The sequence below is a fragment of the Homo sapiens genome, chromosome 21 (assembly GCF_000001405.40).
Source record: "Homo sapiens chromosome 21, GRCh38.p14 Primary Assembly".
NCBI classification, from domain to species: Eukaryota; Metazoa; Chordata; class Mammalia; order Primates; family Hominidae; genus Homo; species Homo sapiens.
This window is the reverse complement of record NC_000021.9, coordinates 46,286,342-46,310,312: the sequence shown is the minus strand read 5'-3', so window position 1 is coordinate 46,310,312 and position 23,971 is coordinate 46,286,342. Positions and strand designations below refer to the sequence as shown.

The 23,971-nt window shown below is 52.2% G+C and overlaps 2 protein-coding genes across 39 annotated transcripts in view, besides 7 other annotated features; one reads left to right on the top strand and one right to left on the bottom strand.

Moving 5' to 3' along the window:
* Positions 1-9,883, top strand: part of C21orf58 (chromosome 21 open reading frame 58) — a 23,441-nt gene extending 13,558 nt beyond the window's left edge. For 9 of the 17 annotated variants that reach the window (NM_001286477.2, XM_047440892.1, NM_058180.5 and 6 more), the window contains 2 exon segments: positions 7,737-7,828; positions 8,159-9,183. In NM_001286477.2, the coding sequence (NP_001273406.1) occupies positions 7,737-7,828; positions 8,159-8,314 (248 nt within the window). In that variant the 3' untranslated portion in view covers positions 8,315-9,183. 17 annotated transcript variants of the gene reach the window in all.
* The window catches only part of YBEY (ybeY metalloendoribonuclease), a 26,884-nt gene extending 2,913 nt beyond the window's left edge, over positions 1-23,971 (bottom strand). The window contains exons 1-6 of one of the 22 annotated variants that reach the window (XM_011529631.3): positions 23,898-23,971; positions 23,190-23,443; positions 18,851-18,979; positions 14,083-14,151; positions 10,615-10,753; positions 10,242-10,330 (exon numbers count right to left, since the gene is read on the bottom strand). In XM_011529631.3, the coding sequence (XP_011527933.1) occupies positions 10,257-10,330; positions 10,615-10,753; positions 14,083-14,151; positions 18,851-18,979; positions 23,190-23,399 (621 nt within the window). In that variant the 5' untranslated portion in view covers positions 23,400-23,443; positions 23,898-23,971 and the 3' untranslated portion in view covers positions 10,242-10,256. Of the gene's footprint in view, positions 1-10,241; positions 10,331-10,387; positions 10,754-12,561; positions 12,775-14,082; positions 14,152-17,794; positions 18,980-23,189; positions 23,444-23,569 lie in introns of those variants that run through there. The other 21 variants (XM_047440898.1, XM_011529633.3, XM_011529635.3 and 18 more) reach the window with 21 other exon arrangements.
* Positions 13,644-13,938: an enhancer, noted in NCBI's record as "tiled region #1466; HepG2 Activating DNase unmatched - State 1:Tss, and K562 Activating DNase unmatched - State 5:Enh". NCBI's record gives its function as "activates a minimal TATA promoter and a strong SV40 promoter by Sharpr-MPRA in HepG2 and K562 cells {active_cell/tissue: HepG2 | K562}" and the evidence as "EXISTENCE:reporter gene assay evidence [ECO:0000049][PMID:27701403]".
* Positions 14,365-14,938: an enhancer, noted in NCBI's record as "H3K4me1 hESC enhancer chr21:47715289-47715862 (GRCh37/hg19 assembly coordinates)". NCBI's record gives its function as "activates a minimal SCP1, AML or CMV promoter by ChIP-STARR-seq in naive H9 embryonic stem cells {active_cell/tissue: H9 hESC(naive)}" and the evidence as "EXISTENCE:reporter gene assay evidence [ECO:0000049][PMID:30033119]".
* Positions 15,184-15,478: a silencer, noted in NCBI's record as "tiled region #4411; K562 Repressive DNase matched - State 5:Enh". NCBI's record gives its function as "represses a minimal TATA promoter and a strong SV40 promoter by Sharpr-MPRA in K562 cells {active_cell/tissue: K562}" and the evidence as "EXISTENCE:reporter gene assay evidence [ECO:0000049][PMID:27701403]".
* Positions 15,184-15,478: an enhancer, noted in NCBI's record as "tiled region #4411; HepG2 Activating non-DNase unmatched - State 4:PromP". NCBI's record gives its function as "activates a minimal TATA promoter and a strong SV40 promoter by Sharpr-MPRA in HepG2 cells {active_cell/tissue: HepG2}" and the evidence as "EXISTENCE:reporter gene assay evidence [ECO:0000049][PMID:27701403]".
* Positions 19,920-20,501: an enhancer, noted in NCBI's record as "H3K27ac hESC enhancer chr21:47709726-47710307 (GRCh37/hg19 assembly coordinates)". NCBI's record gives its function as "activates a minimal SCP1, AML or CMV promoter by ChIP-STARR-seq in primed H9 embryonic stem cells {active_cell/tissue: H9 hESC(primed)}" and the evidence as "EXISTENCE:reporter gene assay evidence [ECO:0000049][PMID:30033119]".
* Positions 20,502-21,084: an enhancer, noted in NCBI's record as "H3K27ac hESC enhancer chr21:47709143-47709725 (GRCh37/hg19 assembly coordinates)". NCBI's record gives its function as "activates a minimal SCP1, AML or CMV promoter by ChIP-STARR-seq in primed H9 embryonic stem cells {active_cell/tissue: H9 hESC(primed)}" and the evidence as "EXISTENCE:reporter gene assay evidence [ECO:0000049][PMID:30033119]".
* Positions 23,648-23,757: a silencer, noted in NCBI's record as "silent region_13418". NCBI's record gives its function as "represses an Ori minimal core promoter by ATAC-STARR-seq in GM12878 lymphoblastoid cells {active_cell/tissue: GM12878}" and the evidence as "EXISTENCE:reporter gene assay evidence [ECO:0000049][PMID:35858748]".

Below are 23,971 nucleotides of genomic sequence, written 5' to 3'. Positions count from 1 at the left end.
AGAGACAGGGGTTTCACTATGTTGGCCAGGCTGGTCTCGAACTCCTGACCTCAGGCAATCCACCCGCCTTGGCCTCCCAAAGTGCTGGGATTACAGGTGTGAGCCACCACACCTGGCTTGACAAGTTTTAACATATACATATAACATATACTTATATCACTACAATCAAGACTGAGCATATCCATCACCTCCAAAGTTTCCTCGTGTTTCTTTTTAATCCCTCCTCCTACACCCCCATGCAACTGCTGAGCAGCTTTCCGTCACTATGTAGTAGTTTGAATTTTCTAGATTATTTTATTTTATTTTATTTTATTTTTGAGACAGAGTCTTGCCTGTCGCCTAGGCTGGAGTGCAGTGGCGTGATCTCGGCTCACTGCAACCTCTGCCCCTCCAGGTTTAAGCAATTCTCTGCCTCAGCCTCTGGAGTAGCTGGGGATTACAGGTACCCGCCACCACGCCCTGCTAATTTTTTGTATTTTTAATAGAGACGGGGTTTCACCATCTTGGCCAGGCTGGTCTTGAACTCCTGACCTCATGATCCACCCACCTCAGCCTCCCAAAGTGCTGGGATTATAGGCGTGGGCCACCATGCCTGGCCTGCATTTTCTAGATTTTTGTAGAAATGGTCTACACAGTATGTACTCTTTTTTTGTATGGCTTCTCTCAGCATGACTGTTTTAAGATTCATCACTGTCGTTGGGTGTATCAATAAATGGTTCCTTCTAATTGCTGAGTAGTATTGCATTGTGTGAATATATCAGTTTGTTATGCATTCACCTGTTGGTGGATGTCTTAGTCCATTTTCTGTTGCTCAGAATATCTGAAACTGAGTAATTTTTTTTTTTTTTTTTGAGACGGAGTCTTGCTCTTTTGCCCAGGCTTGAGTGAAGTGGCGCAATCTCGGCTCACTTCAACCTCTGCCCACCGGGTTCAAGCGATTCTCCTGCCTCAGCCTCCCAAGTAGCTGGGATTACAGGCGCCTGCCACCATGCCTGGCTAATTTTTGTGGTTTTTAGTAGAGACGGGGTTTCACCATGTTGACCAGGCTGGTATCAAATTCCTGACCTCAGATGATCTGCCTGCCTCGGCCTCCTAAAGTATTGGGATTACAGGCGTGAGCCACCAGGCCTGGCCTTCGGTTAATTTTTGCATTTTTAGTAGAGACGGGATTTCGCCATGTTGGCCAGACTGGTCTCGAACTCCTGACCTCAGGTGATCCACCCACCTCAGCCTCCCAAAGTACTAGGATTACAGGCGTGAGCCACTGCGCCTGGCCAAATCTGGGTAATTTATAGAGAAAAGAAATTCATTTCTTACAGTTATAGAGACTGGGGAGTGCAAGGTTCGGGGGCACATCTGGTGAGAGCCTTCTTGCTGTTGGGGACTCTGCAGAGTCTGGAGGCATCACGTGGCAAGGGGGCTGAGTGTGCTGATGGCTAGCTCAGGTCACTCTTCCTCTTATTATAAAGCCACCATTTCTCCTCCCATGATAACACATTAACCCATGAAATCATTAATCCATTATCTCATGTATGCATTAATCCATTCATAAAGGCAGAGCCCTCATGATCCAAGTACCCCTTACAGGCCCCACCTCTCAATACTGCCACATTGAGGATTAAGTTCCAACCATAGCAATGAGAGGCCCCACCTCTCAATACTGCCACATTGAGGATTAAGTTCCAACCACAGTAATGAACATTTGGGTTGCTTCTTGTTTTCGCTTATGGCCAACAAAGCTGTCGTGGACATTCCTGCCTCAGTCTTTCTGTGGATGTATGCTTTCATTTCTCTTGGGTAAATACCTAGAAGTGAAATGTCTGAATCATATGAGATTTAACTCTTTTTTTTTGAGATGGAGTCTCACTCTTTTGCCCAGGCTGGAGTGCAGTGTCGTGATCCCGGCTCACCGCGGCCTCTGCCTCCCGGGTTCAAACAATTCTCCTGCCTCAGCCTCCCGAGCAGCTGGGATTACAGGCATGTGCCACCACGCCCGGCTGATTTTTGTATTTTTAGTAGAGACGGGGTTTCTCCATGTTGGCCAGGCTGGTCTCGAACTCCTGACCTCGTGATCTGCCCCCTTCGGCCTCCCAAAGTGCTGGGATTATGGGCGTGAGCCACCGCGCCTGGGCAGCAGTTTCTTAAAAGTTAAATCAGCAGGTGCGGTGGCACATGCCTGTAGTCCCAGCTGCTCGGGAGGCTGAGGTAGGAGAATCACTTGAACCCAGGAGGTGGAGGCTGCAGTGAGCAGAAATCGTGCCTTTGTACTCCAGCCTGGGTGACAGAGCGAGACTCTGTCTCAAAAAAGAAAAAAAAGAAACTGCCAAACTGTTATCTAGTGTCTGCAGCATTTAATATTCTCACTAGTAATGTTTGTGAGTTCTAGTTATTTACAACCTTGGCAACATGTGGTATGGTCAGTCTTTCTCATTTTATCCATTTTAACAGGATGCAGTGGTGGTTGATTGTGGCTTTGATTTGCATTGCCCTAATGACTAATGGAATTGGTAGTCTAGGGGCAGACGTGTGTAGAATGGCTGAATCACCTGACAGCTGTCCTCAAATCTGTCCCAGTGACCTGCCTATCCCAACCCCTGTGCTGACTTGGTTAATTACTGTAGCTCTATCATATATTGCAATCCAAGCCAGATCTGGCCCAGGACGGCCATGTAACCCACATCCAGGGGATACCTTTCCTATTGTGATCCATATGAGGAGCCCCTGGAGTGGCAGAGAGCATAGCTTGTGCCATCATAAAGAAGGGTAGTCCTGTCTTTCCTTATTACCTGTCGATTTTTCCAGATGAAGTTTAGTGATAGTCTGTCAGGTGCTAAAAAGCACACTGAGGTAGGGGTGTGTGTGTGGGTGTGTGTGTGCCTATGCTTGTATGCCATAGGTTCTAAAAAGCATACCGAGGTAGGGGTGTGTGTGAATGGGTGAGTGTGTGCCTATGCTTGTATGCCATATGAGAGAAAATGCAGCATTTAAAATCAGTGGTTAACGGCCAGCACAGTGGCTCATGCCTGTCATCCCAGCACTTTGGGAGGCTGAAGCAGGAAGATCGCTTGAGCCTAGGAGCTTGAGACCAGCCTGGGCAACATAGCAAGATGCAATCTTGGCTGGGCGCAGCGGCTCACACCTGTAATCCCAGCACTTTGGGAGGCTAAAGAGGCTGGATCACCTGAGGTCAGGAGTTCGAGACCAGCCTGGCCAACATGGTGAAATCCCGTGTCTACTAAAAATACAAAAATCAGCCAGGTGTGGTGGTGGGCGCCTGTAATCCCAGTTACTTGGGAGGTTGAGGCAGGAGAATTGCTTGAGCCTGGGAGGCGGAGGCTGCAGTGAGCTGAGATCACGCCACTGCACTCCAGCCTGGGTGACAGACCAAGACTCTGTCTTAAAAAAAATAAATAAAAATAAGGGGAGGCCGGGCACAGCGGCTCACACCTGTAATCCCAGCATTTTGGGAGGCCGAGGTGGGAGGATTGCTTGAGCTCAGGAGTTCCAGACCAGCCTGGGCAACATGGGGAAACTCCATCTCTACAAAAAAATACAAAAATTTGCCAAGTGTTAGGTGCATGCCTGTGGTCCTAGCTACTTGGGAGGCTGAGGTGGAAGGATCACTTGAACCCAGGAGGTGGAGGCTGCAGTGAGCTGTGACTGTGCCACTGTACTGCAGTCTGGGCAAGAGAGTGAAACCCTGTCTCTAAATAAATACATAAATAAATGGAAATAAAAAACATTTGCAGGAAAGTAGATACTGAGGGAGTTTGTATAACTGTTCTAAAGGAATTCATAAAAGATTTTTTTTTTCGAGATGGGAGTGTCGCTCTGTTGCCAGGCTGGAGTGCAGTGGCATGATCTCAGCTCAATGCAACCTCCGCCTCCTAGGTTGAAGCGATTCTCCTACCTCAGCCTCCCAAGTAGCTGGGACTACAGGCGTGTGCCACCATGCCCAGCTAATTTTTGTATTTTTAGTTGAGACGGGGTTTCACCATGTTGGCCAGATGGTCTTGAACCTCATGATCCACCCTCCTCAGCCTCCCAAAGTGCTGGGATTACAGGCGTGAGCCACCATGCCCGGCCCTACCTTTATTTTTAAATGCAAGTTTTGCTGCATATTCAAATCTAGATTGACAGTCATTTTATCTCACCACTTTCTAAGGACCCTGTGATTGCACTGGGCTTGCCCAGATAATCCAGGATTATATTCCCATCTCATGAGTCTTTTTTTTTTTTTTTTGAGTCACAGTGTTGCTATATCACCTAAGGCAGGTCCAAAACTCCTGGCCTCAAGCGATCCTCCCACCTCAGCCTCCCAAGTAGCTGGGATTATAGCACCCAGCACTCAAGATTCTTTTCTTTTTTTTTTTGAGACGGAGTCTCGCTGTCTGCCAGGCTGGAGTGCAGTGGCGCAATCTCAGCTCACTGCAAGCTCTGCCCCCCAGGTTCACGCCATTCTCCTGCCTCAGCCTTCCGAGTAGCTGGGTCTACATGTGCCCGCCACCAGGCCCGGCTAATTTTTTTTTGTATTTTTAGTAGAGACGGGGTTTCACCGTGTTAGCCAGGATGGTCTCGATCTTCTAACCTCATGATCCGCCCACCTCAGCCTCCCAAAGTTCTGGGATTACAGGCGTGAGCCACCGCGCCCGGCCAAGATTCTTTTTTTAAAAGTTAATTTACAGCATGGCACAGTGGCTCATATCTGTAATCCCAGCACTTTGGGAGACTGATATGGGAGGATCACTTGAGCCTAGGAGTTCAAGACCAGCCTGGGCAACATATTGAGACCTCTTCTCTACAAAACATATCAAAATTAGTTGGGTATGGTGGCATGTGCCTGTGGTCCCAGCTACTTGGGAGGATGAGATGGGGGGATCCCTTGAGCCCAGGAGGTCCATGCTGCAGTGAGCTGTGTTCACACCAAGGCGTCCCAGCTTGGGCAACAGAGTGAGACCCTGTCTCAAAAAAAAAAAAAAAAAAAAGATTAATTTGTGATTAAAAAAAAAAAAAACCATGTAACTTTACCATTGTGACCACTTAAGTGCAAAGTTCAGTAGCGTTAACTGTAGTCACTGCTGTGCCGCAGAACATTTTTATCTTGCAAATCTCAGACTCCACCCGTCGGACTACGTCACCCCCTCCCGTCAGTGCCTGGCAACCACCTTCCTCTGTTCTGTTTCTACGAGTTTGACTGTGTTCGATGTGTCAGATGAATGGAGCCGTACAGTATCTGTCTTTGTGTGACTACATCATCCCCACCTGCCAGTGCCTGGCAACCACCGTCCTGTGTTCTGTTTCTATGAGTCTGACTGTGTTCGCTGTGTCCTGTGAGTGGAGCCACACAGTATTTGTCTTTGTGTGACTGGCTTATTTCGCTTAGTGTGATGTCCTCAAGGATCACCCACATTGCAGCAGGTCACAGATGAGTAACAGTCCATTGTATGGATAGACCACATTTCTGCCTCCATTTATCTATCTACTGATGTACACTTGGGTTGCTTCCGTCCCCGCTCAAGATTCCAGGCTTACATCTGCACAGTCCTTTTTGCCCTCTAATGGAACGCATGCCTAGGACAGAAATGGCTGTGTCAGGAAATACAGCCACACAGTCTCTCAAAAGGTTTGTGCCCATTTACACTCCACATACATGAATGAGAATTTCAGTCGCCAGAGCACTTCACCAACACTTGGCATTTTCACACTTTTCATTTTTGCCAGCGTGGTGGGCATCTTATGGAAGTTCATTCTGGTTTAATTTGCATTTCACTTTTTCATATATTTATTGGCCATTTGTTTTTGTTTTTTGAGGTTTTTTTTTTTCTAAGAGACAGGGTCTCACTCCATTGCCCAGGCTGGAGTGCAGTGGTGCAATCATACCTCGCTGCAGCCTCAACTTCTGGGCTCAAGCACTCCTCCCACCTCAGCCTCCCAAGTAGCTGGGACTACAGGCACAGTCAACTAATTTGAAAAATTTTGTGTAGGGCAGGCGCAGTGGCTCACGCCTGTAATCCCATCACTTTGGGAGGCCGAGGCGGGCAGATCATGAGGTCAGGAGTTCCAGACCATCCTGGCTAACACAGTGAAACCCCATCTCTACTAAAAATACAAAAACAAAATTAGCCGGGCGTGGTGGCGGGTGCTTGTAGTCCCAGCTACTCAGGAGGCTAAGGTGGGAGAATGGCATGAACCTGGGAGGCAGAGCTTGCAGTGAGCCAAGATTGCACCACTGCACTCCAGCCTGGGTGACACAGTGAGACTCCGTCTCAAAAAAAAAAAAAAAAAAAAAAAACCAGCACTTTGGGAAGCCAAGGCAGGTGGATCATGAGGTCAGGAGATCGAGACCATCCTGGCTAACACGGTGAAACCCCATCTCTACAAAAAATACAAAAAATTAGCCGGGCGCAGTGGCGGGCACCTGTAGTCCCAGCTACTCAGGAGGCTGAGGCAGGAGAATGGCGTGAACCCAGGAGGCGGAGCTTGCAGTGAGTCGAGATCGCACCACTGCACTCCAGCCTCGGCGACAGAGCAAGACTCTGTCTCCAAAAAAAAAAAAAAAAAAAAAAATATATATATATATATATATATATATATATATATATATTTTGTGTGTGTGTGTGTGTGTGTGTGTGTGTAGAGATGAGGTCTTGCTATGACTGGTGTCAGCTCCTGGTCTCAAGGACTTCTCCTGTCTCGGTCTCCCAAAGTGCGAGCATCACAGGCATGAGCCACCGTGCCTGGCCTTATTGGCTACTTGAATATCCTTTTTTGTAAAGTGTCCATTTAAGTAATTTGCCCATTTTTCTTTCAGGTTGCCTGCCTCCCTTATTGGTTTCTAGGGATTCTTTATAATTTCTGTAATGAGCCCTTTTTTGATATGTGCATTTTGAGTGTTCCATCCTTCTTGTGGTTGCCTTTTCACTCTCTTCATGGTGTCTGTAGATGAACAGATATTTTATTATTTATTTTCTGGGGAGATAGTATCTTGCTCTGTTACCCAGGCTAGAGTGCAGGGGCATGATCATGGCTCACTACAGCCTCGAACTCCTGGGCTCAAGTGATCCTCCTGCCTCAGCCTCCTGAGTAGCTGGGACTACAGGCATGCACCACTACAACTGGCTTAGATGTTTTAATTTTTTTTTTTTCTTGAGACGGAGTTTCGCCCTGGTTGCCCAGGCTGGAGTACAGTGGCACGATCTTGGCTCACCGCAAGCTCTGCCTCTTGAGTTCAAGCGATTCTCATGCCTCAGCCTCCCAAGGAGCTGGGATTACAGGCTTGAACCACCACGCCTGGCTAATTTTTGTATTTTTAGTAGAGACTCAGGGCGCGCCCCGGGGACCCGCACCGTGTACAGACGGGCTCAGGGCGCGCCCCGGGGACCCGCACCGTGTGCAGACGGGCTCAGGGCGCGCCCCGGGGACCCGCACCGTGTGCAGACGGGCTCAGGGCGCGCCCCGGGGACCCGCACCGTGTGCAGACGGGCTCAGGGCGCGCCCCGGGGACCCGCACCGTGTGCAGACGGGCTCAGGGCGCGCCCCGGGGACCCGCACCGTGTGCAGACGGGCTCAGGGCGCGCCCCGGGGACCCGCACCGTGTGCAGACGGACTCAGAGCCTGCCCCGGGGACCTGCACAGTGTACAGACACACCTGTTCTCTGGTCCTATAATGCTCTATCACTTTAACAAATAGGAAAAACGGAAACTTTATTCAGGGTCCCCCTGCTTCTTCCCTGCAGACATGGTGGAGCTGCTGCTGCTGCAGAACGCACAGGTGCACCAGTTGGTCCTGCAGAACTGGATGCTCAAGGCCCTGCCCCCAGCCCTGCAGGTAGGCTTAGCCCCCAGCAGAACCCTAGGCCAAGGAAACAGGGCCTGGGTGGTTTTTCTTCTGGAAATTTCTGCATCTGTGTAGCTCTGAAAGGGCATTCCTGGCTCAGGTCTACAGTCTGGCTGTGAAGCCCCCATCCCCATCGAGTCCCAGCCCAGATGAGGAATGGGTTGCACAATTTGGGGCGGGGGAGGAGCCTCCTCTGGGAGGATGCTTAGACCCTGCCATCCTGCCTATCACATGGGATCCAGCCCCAGTTAGGAACAGGGCGGGAGTGGAGGTGGGGAGCAGCCTGGGCTGCGTCCTAAGCAGCAGGTGCGTCTGTGGCAGGACCCGCCACATGTGCCCCCGAGGGTCCCACGAGCTGCCAGGCCAAGGCTGCCTGCCGTGCACCACCACCACCACCACCACCATGCTGTGTGGCCACCTGGGGCTGCCACTGTCCTCCAGCCCGCCCCCAGCCTGTGGACGCCTGGCCCACCCTGAGTGTGAGTCACAGAGACCCTGGCCGGGGCACCCTCCACCCCCAGGCTTCCTCAGGGCTGTGGGCTGTGGCGGGACTATGGAAGGGAGCAGGGAGAGACCCTGCCACCACCCGGAGTGGCTACGCGAGTGTGGACTGCAGGCTCCTCCTGGGGAAGCTGGGCAGGCTCGCTTTCTGGTCACGGGGCCATTCCAGGGGGCATCCCTTGCTCCGGGTCCCCTGCAGTGAGGGGCCTGTGAACCCCACCAGGGCAACAGCCCCTCCCAGGGACCCCTCCTTTCCTGTAGGGCGGCGCCGGCCCACCTGGGAGCCTCAGATCCCCCTCTTCCATCACGGAGGTAAAGTTGAGGCCGTGGACGCCACCAGCCTGATGAAATAAAGATTTCATCCAGAAAGAGTTTAAGAAAATCTCAGCTCAGGAGCCAGAACAGAAAAGATCAATAGCTTTAGCCACATGGAAGTGTGAACATCCTGATGGGGAAAATACCACAAAGTCTAATTTAATAACTAGGGACACCTGTGTCCACAGCTGTGGCACAGACTCCCACTAAAGAAGTAGGGGTGCATGGCTCATGCCTGTAATCCCAGCACTTTAAGAGGCTGAGGCAGGAGGATCACTTGAGCTCAGGAATTCGAGACCAGCCTGGGTCACATAGCAAGACCCCGTCTCTACAAAAAATAAATTTAAAAAACTAGCCAGGTGTGGTGATATGCGCCTGTTATCTCAGCAGCTCTGGGGGCTGAGGTGGGAGGATTGCTTGAGCCCAGGAGTTAGAAGCTGCAGTGAGCTCTGATGGAACCACTGCACTATAGCCTGGACCACAGAGCAGGCCCCTGTCTCAAAAATAAAATAAAAAAGTGAAAGAAGCAAGCTGTGTATGACGTGATCCCTTTTGAGTTAATAAAAAAAAAAAAGGGAGAGTGCTAATGCTATAAATGCAGAAATCTCTACATGCTGGTTTGCACAGCTCTTGTTCCTGTAAAGCAAAGGTGAGTGCTGGGCAGTGGAAGGGCGGCTCACTCCCCTCAGTTCAGTTTCCTTCTGTGCTGTGGGGTTTCTTACCATGTGGACAGGCTACCTTGACTATTTCTTTTCTTTACTTTTTGTTACTTTTTTTTTTGGGTGCAATTATGTTTCTTTGCTCTTTTAATGTTGTTTACATATTTTTAAGTAGTATACATAAACTTTCATTCACCCCCTATTAGGACAGATTCTTTCATTCCTGAAGTTCCGCACAAGGAGGAACCCTGTCCCAGTGCTTCCATCTTTGAAAGTTTGCAGGTAGGAGACAGGATGACCAGAGAGTTGCCACTGAGCTGCAGAGCTCCCCAGGGACAGCCACCTGGTGCTGACATGGACGGGCAGGTGTGAACACCGAAGGGCCCAGCGCAGCTACTGGCAGTAACACTCACTTCTCTCAGAACCATCTTTTCGTGCCTCTTGAAGGTGATTCCAGAGACTCTGTGCTCTCGTTAAAAGCTCAAACCAAAGCTCAGACTCCATTTCCTCTTTTCAAGGTGACTTTCCAGCATGGCATTTCTTTCTTTCTATTAAAAATGTTTTTTTTTGAGACAGAGTTTTGCTCTTGTCGCCCAGGCTGGAGTGCAATGGAGCGATCTCGGCTCACTGCAAGCTCCGCCTCCCAGGTTCATGCCATTCTCCTGCCTCAGCCTCCCGTGTAGCTGGGACTACAGGTGCCCGCCACCACACCCAGCTAATTTTTTGTATTTTTAGTAGAGACGGGGTTTCACTGTGTTAGCCAGGATGGTCTTGATTTCCTGACCTCGTGATCCACCTGCCTCGGCCTCCCAAAGTGCTGGGATTACAGGCGTTGAGCCACCGCGCCCAGCCTATTAAATATTTCTCAACAGAATTTTTCATACAACAGAGGGAAGAAATGTCACAGGAAGTGGTGGTCTTTGGATGGCCTGGTCTTGCTGGGTTCACAGGGATGAAAGGCTCTGGCATCCAGAGTGTCTGGTGAGGGCACAGCTGCACTGGCTTAGCCTTGACTGGCCTGCAGGAGGGGTGGGGTCACACCTGAGGGTGGGGCAGGGGATGAGCTCACCCCCATACACAGTCCCCCTTGGTCCCCCTTGGTCCACCTGGGTAGGCTGAAGAGCTCAGAGCAGGCCCTGAAAATGGGCTTGGGCTACTTGGCAGGGGTTTTGGGGTCTGGGTGCCTGGTACCTGGTAGTTAGGAGTGGGGGCTTCTCATGGCCACACCTCCTTGCCTGTGGTGGGGGGGGCTCAGGGCACATTGTGCACACCTGTACACCTGATAAGTTGGGTGACACTCACTGAGAGAGGTTGAAGATGACCCAGGGACCAAGGCAGCACATATGCATGGGTCAGAGCCTCCACAGGGTTGGCAGATCTGCAGATTCAATGCAACTCCAGTCAAGATACCACATTCTTCCTGGCATGTGAGGAGCTGAATCTGGAACCACACAGAACGTGAAGGGCCGGGTGACTCTGGGAGCAGAAGGATGAGGACGGACCTGCTCTGACGACACTCTGGCTTGCAAGAGGGTCCAGAATCAGGGCAGTATGGCTGGGGACAGGCTGGGCAGTGGTGACCTGTGAGCCCCCACTCCTAACTACCAGGTTCCTAGAGCAGGAAACTACCCTGCAACAGGTGATGCTGCTGCTGCCTGGGCCACGGGCGGCTCTTCCTCAGATTCAGGTCAGAAGGGCATTTGCTCACATTCCCTAAAGAAACAAAGGGTTGGGGCCAGGCACAGCGGCTCACACCTATAATGTCAGCACTTTGGGAGGCCTAGGCGGATCAATCACTTGAGGTCAGGAATTTGAGACCTGCCCGGCCAACATGGTGAAACCCTGTCTCTACTAAGAAATACAAAAATTAGCCAGGTGTGGTGGCACACACATGTAGTACAAGCTACCTGGGAGGCTCAGGCAGGAGAATCACTCCAAAAAAAAAAAAAAAAAGAAAGAAAGAAATACAGGATTGGGCCGGACACGGTGTGTGGCTCACACCTGTGATCCCAGCACTTTGGGAGGCTGAGGCGGGCAGATTACTTGAGGTCAGGAGTTCAAGCCCAGCCTGGTCAACACAGCGAAACCCTGTCTCTACAGAAACAAAAATTAGCTGGGCGTAGTGGTGCGCACTTGTAGTCCCAGCTGCTCGGGAGGCTGAGGCAGGAGAATGGCTTGAGCCCAGGAGGCAGAGGTTACAGTGAGCCGAGACTGCACCACTGCACTCCAGCCTGGGCAACAGAGCCAGACCCTACCTCAAAATAACAAAACAGGCCGGGCGTGGTGGCTCACGCCTGTAATCCCAGCACTTTGGGAGGCCGAGGTGGGCGGATCACGAGGTCAGGAGATGGAGACCATCCTGGCTAACACAGTGAAACCCCGTCTCTACTAAAAATACAAAAAATTAGCCGGGCGAGGTGGCGGGCGCCTGTAGTCCCAGCTACTCGGGAGGATGAAGCAGGAGAATGGCGTGAACCCCGGCGGGCGGAGCCTGTAGTGAGCCGAGATCGCACCACTGCACTCCAGCCTGGGCGACAGAGCGAGACTCCGTCTCAAAAAAAAAAAAGCTTGGATTAAAGCTGACTCCATTTTCTGTTTTCACGAGTACTTTTTCGACATGAAGCTATGTCTCACAGTAAACAGAACGCTCTTCACCGAAGGGCGCGGTGGTGCAGCGACTTCAGGAACAGAGGGGCCTGGCCCGTGTTCCCAAGGGGACAAGTCCAGGCTAAGACAGGACGCAAGTCAGTGGGAAGGCATTTTCATGTCCCTGAATCATTTCACAGGACAAACAGATGAGCAGAATTGTAGTAGCCCCAGGCTTTAGAACTCACGCAGGTCTCTGAGGTGCTGCTCGGCGGCCTCGCCGTGGCCCTGGCTAGAGCGGTGTCCGTGGCCGGGAGGCCCCGGGGAACCAGCGCGCTCGCGACGCGCTGCCCTGATGAAGAGGCGTGCGCTGGCGCTGAAACTCCAGGGTTTACTCGAATATTCCAATACTCAGGAGGTAAAAGCAGGAAATACTGACGCAAGCCTTTTCTACGGAAGGACGCGCTGCGGCACCCAAGCCCCTCGAGCCCCTTCCTCTCCGGGGGCGCAGGCTCCGGGCAGGGACCCCCTTGAAGGGCGAGAGGCGAGCGCTGCGCGGTGCTCCCGGGCGGGGGCCACGCGTTCCCTGAACTCCAGACGCCCTCTCGATGCCACGGCTCGGAACCGTTTTATTTACAATAACGAAAAATACCCGATGCAACGTGAAGGAAATAAGAGGAGGTTCCCCTCGTACGTTCATTCGTTATTTATTCGTGTGCGACCCCGGCTCCCCGCAGCCTCCACCCCTCCCGCGTCCCGCTTTCAGAAGGAACGCGGCCCTCAGCTCCCTCCGAAGAGGCCCCGGGTCAGGGGCTGCAGCCGGGTCCCCGTGCGTCGGCCCAGCTCGTCCAGCACCGCCTTCTCCTTCTGGAACATCTGGAAGGAAGGAAGCGCGCTGGCCCTCCCCAGGGAAGGTGTCCGCGCCCCACTCTCTGGGGTCGCCTCCTCGGGATGCCCCTCCCACAGGGTTTGGGGGAAGCCGGCCGCCCGCGCGGCTCTAGCTCAGGCCGAAGGCGGGACCCGGCTCCGGGCACCTTCACCAGAACCTGAGCTCAGCGAGTGCACGAACCGCCACAGGCCGGGAGAATAAGCGGGGCCTCGGGAGGGGAGTGGGAGGAAGAAAGGGGGGCATGGGAGGTGGGAAGGGAAGGGGGAGGAGGGGAGGAGGGCTCACTGCAACCTCCACCTCCCGGGTTCAAGCGATTCTCCTGCCTCAGCCTCCCCTGTAGCTGGGATTACAGGCGCCCACCACCACGCCCGGCTAATCTTTGCGTTTTTAGTAGAGACCGGGTTTCACCATGTTGGCCAGACTGGTCTTGAACTCCTGACCTCAAGTGATCCACCCTCCTCGGCCTCCCAAAGTGCTGGGATTACAGGCGTGAGCCACTGCGCCTGGCCAACTTTTTCTTTTTCTTTTTGAGACGGACTTTCACTCTTGTTGCCCAGGCTGGAGTGCAATGACGCGATCTCTCGGCTAACCACAACCTCCGCCTCCTGGGTTCAAGCGATTCTCCTGCCTCAGCCTCCTGAGTAGCTGGGATTACAGGCATGCACCACCAGGCCCAGCTAATTTTGTATTTTTAGTAGAGACAGGGTTTCTCCATGTTGGCCAGGCTGGTCGCGAACTCCCAACCTCAGTTGATCCGCCTGCCTCGGCCTCCCAAAGTGCTGGGATTACAGGCGTGAGCCACTGCGCCCGGCCAAACTTTTTCTTTTTTTAATGAAAAAGGTTTTTCATGACTTTCAGAGAAGCAGTTTGCTCCCAACACGGGCTTGCGTGCGTGTTAACCATGTGGACCGGAGCCCACGTGGGCCTCCGTAGGCGGAGCGCATGGGTCTGGAGGAAACCAACCCGGAACTCACTCCACGCAGAGCTCCCGCCTCCGCCCTGGGTCTGGCCTAGTCTCTAGCTGATTGGACCTTTTTGACCAAGCGCCACGTGCTAGTGTCAGCTGTGGCTCTCGGCCTCTGCACTCAGACCGCTTTCCTTAGTGAACACATTCAGCTGGAAGTATTTGGGGAGCCCGGTGTTGAAAGCAAACATCTGTGTCATTTTTACAAGGGCAGGTCTGAGGTCCAGTTCCTGCGGGGGCGGTCAAGATGGAGGGTGGGGGCTGGCAGGGGCCTGGGGGAGCCTCCTTCCCCCACGCACCCCCTCGGTAGTGGGATGGATGGGCTCCTTACCTGCTGCCACTCTGCCTCCGTGCCGTGTGTGAATCCCAGCAAGTGACAGAGTCCGTGGGTGGCCGTCACCTGTCAGAATAATTTTAAACCGGCTCAGAGGATGACCCCACAGGAACCTGCCCCTTCAGGGCCACCCCAGGGCCACAGGCTGCTCTTGGTATGTGGCTGCAGGACCCCAGGGTTGCTGTGAGACCCCTGGGCAGGAATTACAGGCACTCAGCTTCAGTTCCCTTCCATCTAAAATGGAAAGCAAGCAAGCCCCTTTGAGAGTCTTTAGTCAACGTGGATTGCTGTCTGGGCCAGCACTGTGCTGGGGAGGGGCCCCCAGGATGGAACTGCCCAGCCGCAGGAGCAATGGGCAAGGGGGGATGGAATATGAAGAAGTGGGGAGGGGTGGGTGCCACGGGGTGGTGGGGCAGTGGGGCACCGGCCAGGGGTGGCCTCCCTGCCCTAAGAGGGACGAGGCAAGCGCACAGCCCACACCCCAGGTCCAACCCCCAGTCAGGATGGGGCCTCCGGTGGCCCCTGATTTTACTGAACACTCTGGGTAGAGCTTTGGGGCACAGGCAGCACAGGGAGTGCGGGAGAGGTATGAAGGCGGAGGCGGAGGGAGGTGCAGCTGCTGGTGAGTCAGGAAGACCCACAGTCGCCATGTCCCCCTGGAGAGAGGGCTGGATTAAAGCCCACAGGGGAGGGGCACCCGGATGGAGCCCAGAGCTGGGGGAAGAGGAGGAGGAGGAGGAAGAGGAGGGAGGGCCTGTGGACCCTGAGCAGGCACAGCACCAAGGGGGTTTATGGAGCCACATGGGCCATAGGGGTAGCACTCCCCTGGGGTTTGGGTGGAGGGAAGAGGGAGGTCTGGGAGGTGGGTATCCTTGGGGCTGGCGGGAGGTGCCTGGAGACATGGAGGACAAGGCAGGGTAGATGGAGAGTGCAGCTGAGAGCCAGCCCTGAGCAGAGCTGGCCTGGCCTGTGGCTATGAGGATGGGGTCCTGGGCTGGTGGGCTGGCCCTCCCCTCAGGGTAATAGGGAGCCCCAAGGAGAGGGCTCTGGGCCCGAGGAAGAAATGCCAGGGGAAGACCAGGGAACAGAATCTTAGGTTTGGGGAAAATGGAAGCAGATGTCCACATACCCCCCCGCCCACAGTTGCTGGCCACAGAGATCCCAGGGCTGAATCTCCGGCTGGGCCACTTCCTGTCACTCTCAGAAACTCCCTCTTCCCCAGCAGGGTGTGCATGGCGGGCAAGTCCCACCCAGGTCTGGAGGGAGCAGTTGGGGCCCAGGTTCCTGTGTGGCCGTCCCATCCTTTCACACTGGGTCTGGCTGGGAAGCTCTGCCTCAAGCCACACAGATGCACTTGGATCCACAAGGGCGATTCAGGGCATGGCTGTGCAGCCAAAGGAGGCCAAGTTAAGTATGATTCACTCATACATGGCTTTTCAGAATGCTTTTCCTTTTTTTTTTTTTTTTTTGGCATCAAGCTGCTGAAACCACCTGTGCAAAAATGATAACAGTGAGAGAGGTCTGGGGTGGCTGACTCCACTGAGTCCCGGGCACGGGTCAGGCTAACCGCGGGAGGAATTTAATCTAGAGTCTAACTTGCGTGGCTGTCCCCACTGAGTCCCGGGCACGGGTCAGGCTAACCGCGGGAGGAATTTAATCTAGAGTTTAACTTGTGTGGCTGACTCCACTGAGTCCCGGGCACGGGTCAGGCTAACCGCGGGAGGAATTTAATCTAGAGTCTAACTTGCGTGGCTGTCCCCACTGAGTCCCGGGCACGGGTCAGGCTAACCGCGGGAGGAATTTAATCTAGAGTTTAACTTGTGTGGCTGTCCCCACTGAGTCCCGGGCACGGGTCAGGCTAACCGCGGGAGGAATTTAATCTAGAGTTTAACTTGCGTGGCTGACTCCACTGAGTCCCGGGCACGGGTCAGGCTAACCGCGGGAGGAATTTAATCTAGAGTCTAACTTGCGTGGCTGACTCCACTGAGTCCCGGGCACGGGTCAGGCTAACCGCGGGAGGAATTTAATCTAGAGTTTAACTTGTGTGGCTGACTCCACTGAGTCCCGGGCACAGGTCAGGCTAACCGCGGGAGGAATTTAATCTAGAGTTTAACTTGTGTGGCTGACTCCACTGAGTCCCGGGCACGGGTCAGGCTAACCGCGGGAGGAATTTAATCTAGAGTCTAACTTGTGTGGCTGACTCCACTGAGTCCCGGGCACGGGTCAGGCTAACCGCGGGAGGAATTTAATCTAGAGTCTAACTTGCGTGGCTGACTCCACTGAGTCCCGGGCACGGGTCAGGCTAACCGCGGGAGGAATTTAATCTAGAGTCTAACTTGTGTGGCTGTCCCCACTGAGTCCCGGGCACGGGTCAGGCTAACCGCGGGAGGAATTTAATCTAGAGTCTAACTTGCGTGGCTGTCCCCACTGAGTCCCGGGCATGGGTCAGGCTAACCGCGGGAGGAATTTAATCTAGAGTCTAACTTGCGTGGCTGACTCCACTGAGTCCCGGGCACGGGTCAGGCTAACCGCGGGAGGAATTTAATCTAGAGTCTAACTTGCGTGGCTGTCCCCACTGAGTCCCGGGCACGGGTCAGGCTAACCGCGGGAGGAATTTAATCTAGAGTCTAACTTGCGTGGCTGACTCCACTGAGTCCCGGGCACGGGTCAGGCTAACCGCGGGAGGAATTTAATCTAGAGTCTAACTTGTGTGGCTGTCCCCACTGAGTCCCGGGCACGGGTCAGGCTAACCGCGGGAGGAATTTAATCTAGAGTCTAACTTGTGTGGCTGACTCCACTGAGTCCCGGGCACGGGTCAGGCTAACCGCGGGAGGAATTTAATCTAGAGTCTAACTTGCGTGGCTGACTCCACTGAGTCCCGGGCACGGGTCAGGCTAACCGCGGGAGGAATTTAATCTAGAGTTTAACTTGTGTGGCTGTCCCCACTGAGTCCCGGGCACGGGTCAGGCTAACCGCGGGAGGAATTTAATCTAGAGTTTAACTTGCGTGGCTGTCCCCACTGAGTCCCGGGCACGGGTCAGGCTAACCGCGGGAGGAATTTAATCTAGAGTTTAACTTGTGTGGCTGACTCCACTGAGTCCCGGGCACGGGTCAGGCTAACCGCGGGAGGAATTTAATCTAGAGTTTAACTTGCGTGGCTGTCCCCACTGAGTCCCGGGCACAGGTCAGGCTAACCGCGGGAGGAATTTAATCTAGAGTTTAACTTGTGTGGCTGTCCCCACTGAGTCCCGGGCACGGGTCAGGCTAACCGCGGGAGGAATTTAATCTAGAGTCTAACTTGTGTGGCTGTCCCCACTGAGTCCCGGGCACGGGTCAGGCTAACCGCGGGAGGAATTTAATCTAGAGTTTAACTTGCGTGGCTGACTCCACTGAGTCCCGGGCACGGGTCAGGCTAACCGCGGGAGGAATTTAATCTAGAGTTTAACTTGTGTGGCTGACTCCACTGAGTCCCGGGCACGGGTCAGGCTAACCGCGGGAGGAATTTAATCTAGAGTCTAACTTGCGTGGCTGTCCCCACTGAGTCCCGGGCACGGGTCAGGCTAACCGCGGGAGGAATTTAATCTAGAGTTTAACTTGCGTGGCTGTCCCCACTGAGTCCCGGGCACGGGTCAGGCTAACCGCGGGAGGAATTTAATCTAGAGTTTAACTTGCGTGGCTGTCCCCACTCAGTCCCGGGCACAGGCCAAGCTAACCACGGGAGGAATTTAATCTAGAGTTTAACTTTAAATCAAGAATAGTAATCATCCCTCCCTAAAACGAATCCCCTCCTTGCTCAAGACCGAAGCCACCTCTGTGAAGCTTGTGAAGGGCCACAAGATTAGGATGATGGGAGGGGCCTGAATTCTGCTCAGATGTAGGTGTCCTGAGGAGAACCAGCCCGCAGGCCTTGCTTCCCCAGCTTGCCCTGCTGTAATTCCCTACTGCTCAGGACTCACGCAGCCAGAGGTCACGAGATTTGTGACCGCCCCAATTGCTCCCCAATAAGATAACGTCAATAGTACAACCTAAGAATGGTCTTTTGGGATGTTTTTCAGACTTTTGAGTTCTGGCAACCTACAGACTCCACCTGGACCTGAGACTCATGACTCAGCTGATCCCGTGGCTCCACGCAGAGGCGGACTCAGGGGACAAAAATCGTTGACACCCCATGGTCCGTCTGCAGCCGATCAGCAGCAGGCATTCCCTAGCCCCTGCCTGCCAAATTGCCTGTAGAAACTGTAGCCTCTGAGTTCTCTGGGAGATTGAGTTGAATAATAACTCCAGCCTTTCTGCTTGGCTAGCTCTGTGTTAAACTCTTTCTCTACTGCAATACCACAATTGCAGTGAATTGGTTTTGTCTGTGCAGTGGGCAGGAAGAACCCATAGGTGGATTACACTGAGGAGAAACAGATCTGGAAGGTGGTGGAGGCTCCAACTTCTGTACTTCTGGCAGCTCAGAAAGAAGCTGATTCAGCAGGTCTGTGTTAGCTCAACATAGTCTGCTCTACTCCAGAGATAAAAGCTGAGAAGGCTTCTCTGGGAGCTTCTGTGTTTTCACAGCGTGTTCTCTCCCTCCTTCAACTGTGGCATGGGGCATGCAGTCCCTACCCAGCCTGGGTGCTCCTCACACCCTGCTTACAGGTTCTTCCCCCAGTAGCCCTTACGGTACCCACGGACACACATGGATGCAGGGTTGTGATCTTGACCCCTTTGCAAGGCCCATGTTCCATGAGCCAGGTTATATGATTTCAGCATCCCCGCTTACAGTCAGGACGTCATTGTAATCTTCATTTTCTTTACACTGATGGAAGATATACTCCACTCCTAGGAAAATGTCTCCCAAATTGTAGTCATCTGGAAAATCAGGCTGGGGAAATTCACCTGCTTTCAGATGCTAAAAAATGAGGAAATGTAGACTTAGAGAACAGGAAACGTAACCCAACCACAGGTTGACAGGTTTCATCCTGGTTAATCCCAAGGCAAATAAGCACTTATCTCTGAGCCAAATCACTTTTTTTTTTTTTTTTTTTGAGACGGAGTTTCACTCTTGTTGCCCAGGCTGCAGTGGAATGGCGCGATCTCGGCTCACTGCAACCTCTGCCTCCCGGGTTCAAGTGATTCTCCTGTCTCAGCCTCCTGAGTAGCTGGGATTACAGGTGCATGCCACCGTGCCCAGCTAATTTTTGTATTTCTTTTTTTTTTTTTTTTCCTGAGACAGAGTTTCCCTCTTGTTGCCCAGGCTGGAGTGTCCGCCTCCTGGGTTCAAGCAATTCTCCTGCCTCAGCCTCCCGAGTAGCTGGGACTACAGGCATGCGCCACCACGCCCGGCTAATTTTGTATTTTTAGTAGAGACTGGGTTTCTCCGTGTTGGTCAGGCTGGTCTCAAACTCCCAACCTCAGGTGATCCACCCGCCTTGGCCTCCGAAAGTGCTGGGATTACAGGCGTGAGCCACCGCGTCTGGCCTAATTTTTGTATTTTTTAGTAGAGATGGGGTTTCATCATATGGGTCAGGCTGGTCTCGAACTCCTGACCTCAGGTGATCTGCCTGCCTCAGCCTCCCAGAGTGCTGGGATTACAGGCGTGAGCCACTGTGCCAGCCACCCAAATCACTCTTAAGATGCATGTCTCAGGCCAGAGTGGCAGCTGGGCCTGTGGCGGGTGGGTTGCCCAGCCAACCGTACACAAGTGCCCTAAATTGTTTCCATTGTGAAAATTGTCAGAATAGCCAGGCGTGGTGGCTCACAGCTGTAATCCCAGCACTTTGGGAGGCCGAGGCGGGCAGATCAAGAGGTCAGGGGTTTGACACCAGCCTGACCAACATGGTGAAACCCCATCTCTACTAAAAATACAAAAATTAGCCAGGTGTGATGGCACATGCCTGTAACCCCAGCTACTCGGGAGGCTGAGGCAGGAGAATCGCTTGAACCTGGGAGGCGGAGGTTGCAGTGAGCCCCTAGACTGCGCCATTGCACTTCAGCCTGGCTGACAGAGCAAGACTCCGTCTCAAAAAAAAAAAGGAATTTGTCAGAATAAAAATGGAGCCATTAGGGTTATACAAACAAACCAAAAAACCTGACAAATAGAGCTGGGGAAAGCTATGAAGAGAGGATTCTCATACTTCCATGCCTGATAACAAAAACTGTCACTAAAGATGGCAAAAACTGCAACAAAGGCTATGACAACCTTACACACATACAAAACTGCAACCTTGCACAAAGGCTATGACAACCTTACACACACACACGAAACTGCAACCTTGCACAAAGGCTATGACAACCTTACACACACACAAAACTGCAACCTTGCACAAAGGCTATGACAACCTTACACGCACACAGAAACTTCTGCAAGGATAATCTGCCCAGCAACTGCCTGTCTAACCTTGGACGGACATTAATCTTGTTATTGATCTTTGCAACCAAGGATCATTATCTCAAAACAATTATGTTTTTTTCCTTTAAAAACCTTTGCCAGGCGGGGCTCAGTGGCTCACGCCTGTAATCCCAGCACTTTGGAAGGCAGAGGCGGGTAGATCACCTGAGGTCAGGAGTTCTAGACCAGCTTGGCCAACATGGTGAAACCCCAACTTTACTAAAAATACAAAAAAAAAAAAATTAGCCAGATGTGGTGGTGGGCGCCTGTAATCCCAGCTACTCGGGAGGCTGAAGCAGGAGAATCGCTTGGACCTGAGAGGTGGAGGTTGCAGTGAGCCGAGATTGTGCCATTGCACTCCAGCCTGGGTGACAGAGCAAGCCTCCGTCTCAAAAAAAAAAAAAAAAACAAAACCCTTGCCTTCCTTTACCTCCCTGAATATGCGAATATCCACACAGTCTACTATGGCATGTGGCATGTATTTTCACTGCAATGCTCTATCCCAAATAAACATCCTTTTCTTTAAAAGCCTGTTTGTTTAGGTTGCTATCACCTTGTCAAATGGCTTTTCATTTCTTTCATCCCTCCCAATGCAGAATCACGCAGATCCACAACTTCTACAGAGTTAAATCATCACATGGACACGACTGTATATTCCTGTTCTTTCCACTTGGTATTTTGTCCTAAAGAGTCTTTCACATTTTCCACATAAAGACTATAAAGACCAGTCCACTTAGTTAAGGACTGTTCACACTAAGCCAGTCACCTATGGCTGGATATTTAGGATGCTCCTCTTATTTTCCTATTACAGAAAATGGTAACTTTTTTTTTGAAAAAGGGTGTTACTCTGTGGCCCAGGGTGGAGTGCAGAGGTGCAGTCTTGGCTCACTGCAGCCTCAGTTTCTTGAGCTCAGGCGATCCTCTCACCTTAGCCTCCTGAGTAGCTGGGACGACAGCTCTGCACACCACCATGCCCGGCTAATTGTTGTTTTTATTTTTTGTAGAAACAAGGTTTGACCATGTTGCCCAGACTGGTCTTGAACTCCTGGGCTCAAGTGATCCTCCCACCTTAGCTTCCCAAAGTGCTGGGATTATAGGCCCAGCCAATAAATTAACATTTCAATACATTTTTACGTGATTCAGCATTTTCTTTTCTTCTTTTTTTTTTTTTCTTTTTGAGACGGAGTCTCGCTCTGTCGCCAGGCTGGAGTGCAGTGGTGCAATCTCAGCTCACTGCAACCTCCGACTTCCTGGTTCAAGAGATTTTCCTGCCTCAGCCTCCCGAGTAGCTGGGATTACAGGCAAATGCCACCACACCCAGCTAACTTTTTTTGTATTTTTAGTAGAGACGGGGTTTCACCATGTTGGCCAGGATGGTCTTGAATTCCTGACATCGTGATCCACCCACCTCGGCCTCCCAAAGTGCTGGGATTACAGGCGTGAGCCACTGCACCCGGCCTCTTCTGCCTTTTGGTTTATTGTCTTGGGTGTGTCACCACAGGACTAAAGGATACATGTGTTTGAAATGCCAAGTTGCTTTCCCAAAGGATTGCTCCAATTCCTGCTGCTACAATGTGGGAAGCCTTGAATGAAGTCATCTACAGAATGTAGATAATAACCTGACTGCTATTACATTGAGTTTGTTGGAAATATTTACCCCAGTCTGTTTATTTTCAGTGTTGTTTTAATTTTTCCAATGTGCACATATTCATTAACGAATCCCACTTAAAACTGCAAAAATATTGCAGAAGCAGTTTGCTTCTCTCTTCTAATTCACTGAGAGCATTAGGAGGGGAAGGGGGGTGGACGCTAGTCACCTTTTTCTTTTCTTTTTTTTTTCCTGAGACAGAGTTTCGCTCTTCTTGCCCAGGCTGGAGTGCAATGGTGTGATCTCAGCTCACTGCAACCTCCATCTCTGGGGTTCAAGCGATTCTCCTGCCTCAGCCTCCCAGGTAGCTAGGATTATAGGTGCCCCCCTCCACCTCCCGCCCGGCACAACCACACCCAGCTAATTCTTTGTGTTTTTAGTAGAGGCAGGGTTTCACCATGTTGGCCAGGCTGATCTCGAACTCCTGACCTCAGGTGAACCACCCGCCTCGGGCTCCCAAAGTGCTGGGATTATGGGTATGAGCCATCGCGCTCGGCTGTCACCTTTCTTTTTCCTGCTGGGTTACCAGTGTAATTGTAGACTCTGGGTGATGGGCCTCGATCAGTGGAGGCTGAATATACTGCTCTCTCTACTTTTGTGTATATTTGAAAATTTTCAAAATTAAAATTAAAAATCATGTCTGTAACATATATACTTATAGGCACCATGGAGCCTAGCCTATAATATAATTAATACATGAAATTTAGGCCGGGTGCTCTGGCTCACGCCTGTAATCCCAACACTCTGGGAAGCCCGAGGCAGGCAGATCACCTGAGATCAGTTCAGGAGCAGCCTGGCCAACATGGTAAAACCCCCGTCTCTACTAAAAATACTGACAAAAAAAAATTAGCCAGGCGTGGTGGCCAGCATCTGTGGTCCCACCTACTGGGGAGGCTGAGGCAAAAGAATCACTTGAACCAGGAAGGGAGGTTGCAGTGAGCCGAGATCGCACCACTGCACTCCAGCCTGGGTGACAGAGCAAGACTCCGTCTCAATTAAAAAACAAAACAAAACAAAACAAAACGACAGGAAATTTACTCTGGGAAGATGGGCTAGACAAGAAGAGGAACATTTTTTTTTTACCTCATGAAATGGAAAAGAAAGCACATCGGTTGGGACATTTCTATCTCTGTAGATTCTATTAATGTGCTGAATATTCTTGTTGTCAACACAGATGATCCCCAGGTCAAATTTCTGCACTCCTAAAATCCTCCTTACAATCTCGATCTTACTGCGAAGTGGCGCTCTCCTGATGGGGATGACTCGCTGCAGATTTCTAATCACCAAACTCATTTCAGGAAGAATAACCAGCCCTTTAAAAATGTTTGCAACGGAACCTGGGGTTAAAGTGTAAGAGAAGACCAATCAGTACAAGTGATAATACGGTCTGTAAAAATACAGATGCACGCGCAATCAGATCACTTTATTTGGTGGAACTGATTGAAAATCTTAAGGGAATTTACATTTACCACAAGGAGGAAGCAACAACGAGGGTCTATGGAAGGATGCCGCGGAATCCGGCCAGAAGGACTCCAGGCGGGCGGAGCGGAAGGAGCGGTTCCCAGAGAAAAGGGGGCGGGTTGGGGGTGCGCGCGGAGAGAGGCGCGCGGACGCGGCGGGGTGCGGGGAGGGGCAACGGCTGGGGAGAGAAGGGGCTGGAATGGGGGAGGGACAGGAGAGGGGACAGGTAAGCGTTGGGGGCCGGGTCCTCTGGGGTCTGGGGCGCCCGCAGACCCACGCGGGTGAATGCGACGCTCTCGCTTGGGAGACTAAAAACCCGCCCGGACGTACCGGTGTCTGGACCCAGCAAAGGACGCGAGAGCGGGCGGACCCTCCCGACCGGAAGCCCCGCCACAGAGCGGGTT